The 7,738-nt window shown below is 48.7% G+C and overlaps 1 protein-coding gene across 1 annotated transcript, besides 1 other annotated feature; it reads left to right on the top strand.

Annotated features, from left to right (window-relative positions):
• Positions 1,489–1,783: an enhancer, noted in NCBI's record as "tiled region #5483; HepG2 Activating non-DNase unmatched - State 13:Ctcf". NCBI's record gives its function as "activates a minimal TATA promoter and a strong SV40 promoter by Sharpr-MPRA in HepG2 cells {active_cell/tissue: HepG2}" and the evidence as "EXISTENCE:reporter gene assay evidence [ECO:0000049][PMID:27701403]".
• On the top strand, positions 4,578–6,616 carry P2RY4 (pyrimidinergic receptor P2Y4). Its single transcript, NM_002565.4, has one exon. The coding sequence runs from the start codon at positions 5,158–5,160 to the stop codon at positions 6,253–6,255; it is 1,098 nt and encodes a 365-aa protein (NP_002556.1). The 5' UTR covers positions 4,578–5,157; the 3' UTR covers positions 6,256–6,616.

The raw sequence follows: 7,738 nt of genomic DNA, 5'->3' as shown, positions 1-7,738 counted from the left end.
TTCCATTGAGATTGAGTGACTTTCGTGTTCCACTTACTCTCAGCAGGTAATTCCATTTGTTCACTTCATAAAGAAAATTCAGCCAATTGGAGTGGACCTCACACCTTCCAAATACACGTATACTTTAATTCTCAATAACGACAATGAGGGCACTCTGCTGGGTTCCTTACATGCATTGCTTCATTGTCTTCTCACAACAAGCTAGGTGCTAGCATCCTCATTCTACATATGAGGAAATGGAGGTTCAGAAAGACTTATCCATAGTCATAGCCGGCAGGCGATGGAGCCAGAGTTCAACCCTAGGTCTGTCTGACTCCAAGCCTGCATTTTTTCCACTATATCACTTACCTTCCCTCCCTCATTTTCTTCCCTCTCCCTCCCTTCCTACCTTTATTCCTCCTTTCTCCCCTCCCTCCCTCCTTCCCTCCTTCTCTCCCTTCCTTCGTTCCTTTCCTCCTAACTCAGATAAAGAGATTAGAAATCATGCCTCTTCCCCCTTTCCTTCTTAAAGCCCCAAGGAAACAGCAAACCTTGCAAAGAAACTGTCATCAAGACAATTACGAATATTAGATGTGAAGGGCCAGGAGGGAGAGGACTGGAACAAACTGGAGGAGTAGGGCAATGGAAGGGTGTCAGCAATAATGGTATTTGTACATCTTATTTATCTCTGTCAGGGAAAAAATAGTAAACTTTTCCTGCATACTAAATTCCAGACATCAATGAGATACCCAAGTGTGTGTGTCCTATAGCAAACAACATATATAGGGCTTAGATTATAGATGTGGGAACCATTCAGTTCAACAAATTATAATTAAGTCATTCATTCACTCAACAACTATTATTGAACATGTACTATGTGGAAGGTACTTGTTTTCTTAACTCTGAATTGGAAGGCATTTTTTGGGGGACAGCAGAGAATATAATTTGAAAGGAAATATCTAGAACATATGTTATAATAACTTTACCTGGAAGGCTATGGGAAAGACAGAGGTAAAATGAGGTACATGTTCTCAAGGAGCTCTGGTTCTGGTATGGGGGTGGGAGGATCAGGAGGAGATGGCCAAAAACACAAATGAGTATAATTCTAGGCTGCCTGTGGTATGTGCCATCTCTGTAGAAATCAAATGTGATAAGAGTGTGAGAGAAGGAGAGATGCATTTTGATTAGAGAGAGATCTGTATGCTGGAGTCTCTTGGCCATTACAATTTTTGATAACCTCTGAGTCATAGTTGAAATCATGAGAGTGGATGTTCCAAGAGAGAAGGGGAAGAGAGGGTGGGGGTAGGGGGAGAGAGATGGTGGAGAGGGAGAGAGAGGAGAGGAGAGGAGAGGAGAGAGGAGAGGAGAGGATCTTTGGGGGAAGGCTCACATGTTGGGGAAGTAGGGGAAAAAAGAGCCAGGGAAGGGGCCAGAAGGAACATCCAGAGGAAGAGGAGAACCGGAGTAAAGCAAAGTCACAGGAACCAAAGTAAAGAAGAGTTTCACAGAAGAGAGTGAGGCTGATCTGCTGCATTCCGTTCCTCTTGGCCCTGGGTGAGGACAGTAAAAGCCAGGCAGGTGTGCCGGTTGGGGAGGGTTGGGAGAGGTCTTTTCCTGAAATAGCCACTGGGCGGCAGTGGTGGCAGCAGCAGCAGCTGCAGCTGTGTCGGGACATGCAGAAACGTAGCAGAGCTAAGTCAGGAGAAATGTAGCAGAGGTAAACCAGCCTGAAGCAGTAGGAGCAGGAAGCTGGCTCAGGCTGGGGCTTCTCTAGTGTAGTGCTTCTCCTTGGGTGTACACCAAACTTCAAAACACGCTTGTCCACCTCTGCAGAGGCCAGGTTCATTCCTGGGAGCAAAGCAGTAACAAAAAACACCTTCTAAACTTGCAGCATTTTATGGTTCACAAAGTGCTCCACACCTGTTAACCAATTCAATATTCAGGAAACCCTAAAAGATTGGTATTATTATTATTCCCATTTCACTGGTGAAGAATGGAAGTTACAAAGAGGCGCCCAGGCTCACATAACTAATAAGTGGAAGAGCAAGGATTTAAACACCAGCCCGTCTGGCTTCAAAAACTTGGGCCTCTTATGTAATGTCACAGTAGTCAGCTGTCCAGGACTCAGGTTATGACTGTGTCCTCCACTGCTACCTTTTATTCCACCCTTTACTCTGCCACAGGGCAAGGATCTTCAGTTTCCCCATCCAGGTTTCTGGGCTTTCCGAGAGATCTAGATTCTAGATTCTAGAAGTCCGCCTCCTCCTCTCACTCCCAGGATCCAGCTGGGTGACATTCTCAGGACCTGAGGATCAAGTAAGTTCAGAGTCCCCATTGCTTCTCAGCTCCATGCAGAGTGGATTCTGCTCCAGCCTGCTCACCCCTCCCCAAAGGCACTGCTTACCTCATCCTCAGAGTCCTCCAGACCGGGTTTGCCTCTAGTGCCTAAGATATACTTACGGAGGCTTAGTTGGCTTCAGGAGCCCCAGATCCTGAGCTGCTGGCAATTCCCTACACCAGGCTCTCAAACATCTAGGCTTGCTCTCTGCACCTTCTCCACTATATTCAGACCAAGTCTCTGGGAGTGATCAAGAGAGACGAGGGGTACTGTATAGAAAGGGGTAGAGTCTGTATGGGAAATGTATTGGCTGGTATCCTTAAGGAGGCATGAACTGTCTCCTGGCCATCCCCTCTTACATGTATAATAGGCATCTCAAAATTTACAGGCTGAAAAGTGAACTCCCAATCTTTCCCCTAAACCCACTCCTGTCTCTGTCAACAGTAACTCTATTCTTCCAGTTGCTCAGGCCGGACATTTTGGAGTAATTTTTGACTCTTCTTTCTCTTATACCCCACATCAGTAAATCTTGCTGTCCCTACTTAAAAAAGTCTATCCAGAATTTGACCACTTCTCATCATCTCCACCACTGTGATCCAAGCTACCATCATCTCTATCAGCAATAGCCTCTTGACTGGTCTTCCCCCTGTACCTCCAGCCCTGCAGTCTATTCTCAATATAGAGCTGGCCAGTGAGCCTTCTAAAATGTAAGTCAGATGACACCTCTCTTCTCTAAACCCTAAGTGCCTTCCCGTTCACCAAAGAGTCCTTTACAATGGCCTCCAAGGACCTTCATGATCTGGTCCCTGCCAAACTCTCTGACCTCATTTTTTACTTTTCCCCTTCTCACAACACCTGGCCTTTATTCAAAAGTCACCCTTAATATTTATTTATTTACTTATAGACAGGGTCTTGCTTTGTCATTCAGGCTGGAGTGCAGAGGTCTGACCATAGTTCACTGCAACCTCAAACTGCTGGGCTCAAGTGATCCTCCTATCTCCGACTCCCAAAGCACTGGGATTACAGGTGTGAGCCACTGTGCCTGGTTTCATTCCTAATATTTAAAACAACAACCCTCTCTATTACCCTTTTCCTTCCCTCTTTATTACCCTTTTCCTTCCCTCTTTAATTTTTCTCCATAATGATGATCACAATCTACATATTTTACTTATTAATTTTATTATCCCCCAGTAGTATGTAAGCACCATTAGGGTGGGAGTTTTTATCTATTTTGTCCACTCCTAAGGAACTACCAGTAACTAGAACTGGACCAGGCAAAAGTAGGCTCTCAGTAAATATTCGTGGTTTTAAAAAAATTATTTATATTTGAGACAGGGTCTCACTTTGTCACCCAGATTGGAGTGCAGTGGCGCGATCACAGCTCACTGCAGCCTCAACATCCCAGGTTCAAGCACTCCTCCTGCCTCAGCCCCCCATGTAGCTGGGACATCAGGTGCATGCCACCACGCCCGACTAATTTTTTGTAGAGACAGGGTTTTGCCACGTTGTCCAGGCTTGTCTTGAACTCCTGAGCTCCAGCGATCTGCCTGCCTCTGTCTGCCATAAATATTTGTTGATTCTTTCCTGGATCATAGCCAGTGGCTTAGAGAGGCAACTTAAGCATAGCAATTAAGTTATGGATGCTAGAGCCTGATCCAAAGGCAGGCCTGTCTTGGTTCAAATCTTGACTCTACCACTAACTAGCAAGACACCTAAACTTTCTGTGCCTTCATTTTTTCATCAGCAAAGCAGAGACAATAATAGTATCTAGCTCATAGAGAGCCTATGGGGTCATTAATAAGTATAAAGCACTTAGAAAAATGCCTGTCACATAGTAAGTGCTATATAAGCATTCTTTGTAATTATATGCATATGAGATTTATATTAAATATCAGTAGTTTAGATTTTCTAAAATCTTTCAATGTGTTGTCTTGCACTTGCCCATGTGAAAATTCGTTTCCCATGTTTCTGCTCACTTACACAGGCTTGTATGATCCCCCTGTAATCTATCTCCAGGGACCTGGCTCTTCATCAGTAAACTTGGATGTTTCCTCGTGTTCTCCCTCCTGCAGTCATTTCAAAGCTGTTAAATAGTAATCTCGCTGGGCCCCAGTTTCCCAATCTGTACAATGAGTGGGTTGGACTAGGTCATCGTAAAGGGCCTTTCTAACTCTTTTAATCTCCCAGGTGGGAGGAGGGACAGGCCCCACCTCCAACTCCACCTCCTTGGATATGCCCTCTGGCTGCCAAGGGGAAGGGTGACAGAGTCAGCTGAGCTCAGCTTCAAGGGGACCAGGTAGGAGATGTGCCAACGTTCTTGGGCAAGGGTGGCAATGGGGCTCCTGGGCTGTAGGCAGGCAGTGGGGAAGGTGTCATAGGTAAATGTCATCTGGAGACACTGTGACCAGGGCACTAGGAGAGGCGAAGGCACTGTGGGGAGAGACACTCCTCTTCCAGGGATATAGCTGTGATGACGAGTCAGAAGACACTTTGGGTCTGGGTATCTTCCCACTTTGGATAGTGCTGGGAGGCCTCCACCCTCTTCAGCCAGCCAGGCTCTTAGGGACAGAGTGAGCTGCAGAGTGAGTACAACCCAAATACACGGGCTGCCTGCCTGAGCCCCAGCACTGCCTGCTGCCCACCACTTCCCAAGCTGGACCAAGGGAGCTTGGGTAGGGGCCAGGCTAGCCTGAGTGCACCCAGATGCGCTTCTGTCAGCTCTCCCTAGTGCTTCAACCACTGCTCTCCCTGCTCTACTTTTTTTGCTCCAGCTCAGGGATGGGGGTGGGCAGGGAAATCCTGCCACCCTCACTTCTCCCCTTCCCATCTCCAGGGGGGCCATGGCCAGTACAGAGTCCTCCCTGTTGAGATCCCTAGGCCTCAGCCCAGGTCCTGGCAGCAGTGAGGTGGAGCTGGACTGTTGGTTTGATGAGGATTTCAAGTTCATCCTGCTGCCTGTGAGCTATGCAGTTGTCTTTGTGCTGGGCTTGGGCCTTAACGCCCCAACCCTATGGCTCTTCATCTTCCGCCTCCGACCCTGGGATGCAACGGCCACCTACATGTTCCACCTGGCATTGTCAGACACCTTGTATGTGCTGTCGCTGCCCACCCTCATCTACTATTATGCAGCCCACAACCACTGGCCCTTTGGCACTGAGATCTGCAAGTTCGTCCGCTTTCTTTTCTATTGGAACCTCTACTGCAGTGTCCTTTTCCTCACCTGCATCAGCGTGCACCGCTACCTGGGCATCTGCCACCCACTTCGGGCACTACGCTGGGGCCGCCCTCGCCTCGCAGGCCTTCTCTGCCTGGCAGTTTGGTTGGTCGTAGCCGGCTGCCTCGTGCCCAACCTGTTCTTTGTCACAACCAGCAACAAAGGGACCACCGTCCTGTGCCATGACACCACTCGGCCTGAAGAGTTTGACCACTATGTGCACTTCAGCTCGGCGGTCATGGGGCTGCTCTTTGGCGTGCCCTGCCTGGTCACTCTTGTTTGCTATGGACTCATGGCTCGTCGCCTGTATCAGCCCTTGCCAGGCTCTGCACAGTCGTCTTCTCGCCTCCGCTCTCTCCGCACCATAGCTGTGGTGCTGACTGTCTTTGCTGTCTGCTTCGTGCCTTTCCACATCACCCGCACCATTTACTACCTGGCCAGGCTGTTGGAAGCTGACTGCCGAGTACTGAACATTGTCAACGTGGTCTATAAAGTGACTCGGCCCCTGGCCAGTGCCAACAGCTGCCTGGATCCTGTGCTCTACTTGCTCACTGGGGACAAATATCGACGTCAGCTCCGTCAGCTCTGTGGTGGTGGCAAGCCCCAGCCCCGCACGGCTGCCTCTTCCCTGGCACTAGTGTCCCTGCCTGAGGATAGCAGCTGCAGGTGGGCGGCCACCCCCCAGGACAGTAGCTGCTCTACTCCTAGGGCAGATAGATTGTAACACGGGAAGCCGGGAAGTGAGAGAAAAGGGGATGAGTGCAGGGCAGAGGTGAGGGAACCCAATAGTGATACCTGGTAAGGTGCTTCTTCCTCTTTTCCAGGCTCTGGAGAGAAGCCCTCACCCTGAGGGTTGCAGGGAGGCAGGGATATCATGGGTGACCTCATCTCTCATAACCCCTTCAGTTGCCGACTCTTTTTAGCCAATGCCAATCTTCTACTCCTTTCTCGTTGTTTCTGTTCCTTCCTGGGGCCATTGGTCCTACAATCTTCCTGAAAATCTTCCCCAGTCCTCTTTCCCTGTCCCATTTCCCCCACAGCCTCCTATAGCATGTGTTTCTCTACCCAGACCAGAGCATTCAGCTGAAGGGGTGGATCAGGCAGAGTCATCTCAGGATTGGCCTGACGTATCTGATGGTGATAACCAGAATCAGGAAGTGGAGGCAACTTCCATATCACAGATGCCGAGGATGTGCCATATGTAGCACCCACACTGACTTCCTGGTTCTCTCTCAAAGACAGCATAGTCTTGCTTACCAAGATGCTGGAATAGGGTGTGATCCCAGGGAGCCTGCATGCCAGGGTCCCCGCATGTAGCTGGGGGCCTGACACTGTTGAACTGGTGTGCAGCATGAATTAAAGTCCTGTGATAGGGTGGGGACCTTAGCTGATAACAGCCTTTGGGACAGGAATGGGACTGGACCTTCTTTATGATGTTTGCTGAGAACATGTATATGACAGCTCTCCTGTACTTAACAAAAGGACAAGTGGATGGCTCAGACTGAGGGGGTGGAGCTCTCACGTCTATGGCTGTAAGTTCTAGCATTGAGGAGTAGAGCAGATTTGTGCAGAGGAAGGTGGTGACAAGAATTGACGCCCAGAGCTAGTGTTTCACTGATCTCTCCACTTTCTCTAGGTCCTGCCCCAAATAAATGATAAATCTGTCACCAGCTCTTTCAGATCAGGCTTCAGGACTTTGAGGCCAGGGTGGAGCACTAGGACTGGGAAGGTTCTTTTTAAAGTTTCCCACCCATTCATTGCTTCTCTCTTCCAGTGCCATCTTAGCACTTACAGGCTTATTGGATCAAGTTGCAGAGGGGAGGGGGGTGCATTGGAAATTGAGAAGCTAACCCCTAAGCCTTGGGAAGTAAGAATTTCTTGGCAGGCATTCTTGAGAAGGGTGGGCTCACACTTACAGGCCTTCTCCCTCTGAAATCACCTTCCAGCCTGTTGGTCTCCTGAGTCAGACCCCAGCCTTGCCTTTCTTTTTTTCCCACCCTTGCTAACCTGTCTCTGATCTCTTACTTATCTAATGATACTAACTCTTATTGGCTTCTAAGCGTCTCTCTCTGTAGAGTAGGGCTGGGGCTGGACTGAAGGAAAAAAAAATGACTTCAGTTCCCCTGAATTTCCCTTTTTGTTTTTTGAAAGGCTCCCACTTTCTCCCTAGATATCCAGGACCTTCTTGCTATGCAGGACTCCTGCCA

Source organism: Homo sapiens, chromosome X, assembly GCF_000001405.40.
Source record: "Homo sapiens chromosome X, GRCh38.p14 Primary Assembly".
Taxonomy (NCBI): Eukaryota; Metazoa; Chordata; class Mammalia; order Primates; family Hominidae; genus Homo; species Homo sapiens.
The sequence above is the reverse complement of the archived record's forward strand: the minus strand, read 5'-3'. Positions and strand labels throughout refer to the sequence as shown.

What these genes read in the sequence shown, in the direction of transcription:
- P2RY4 (NM_002565.4), top strand. Translation starts at nt 5,158, where the DNA reads ATGGCCAGTACAGAGTCCTCCCTGTTGAGATCCCTAGGCCTCAGCCCA.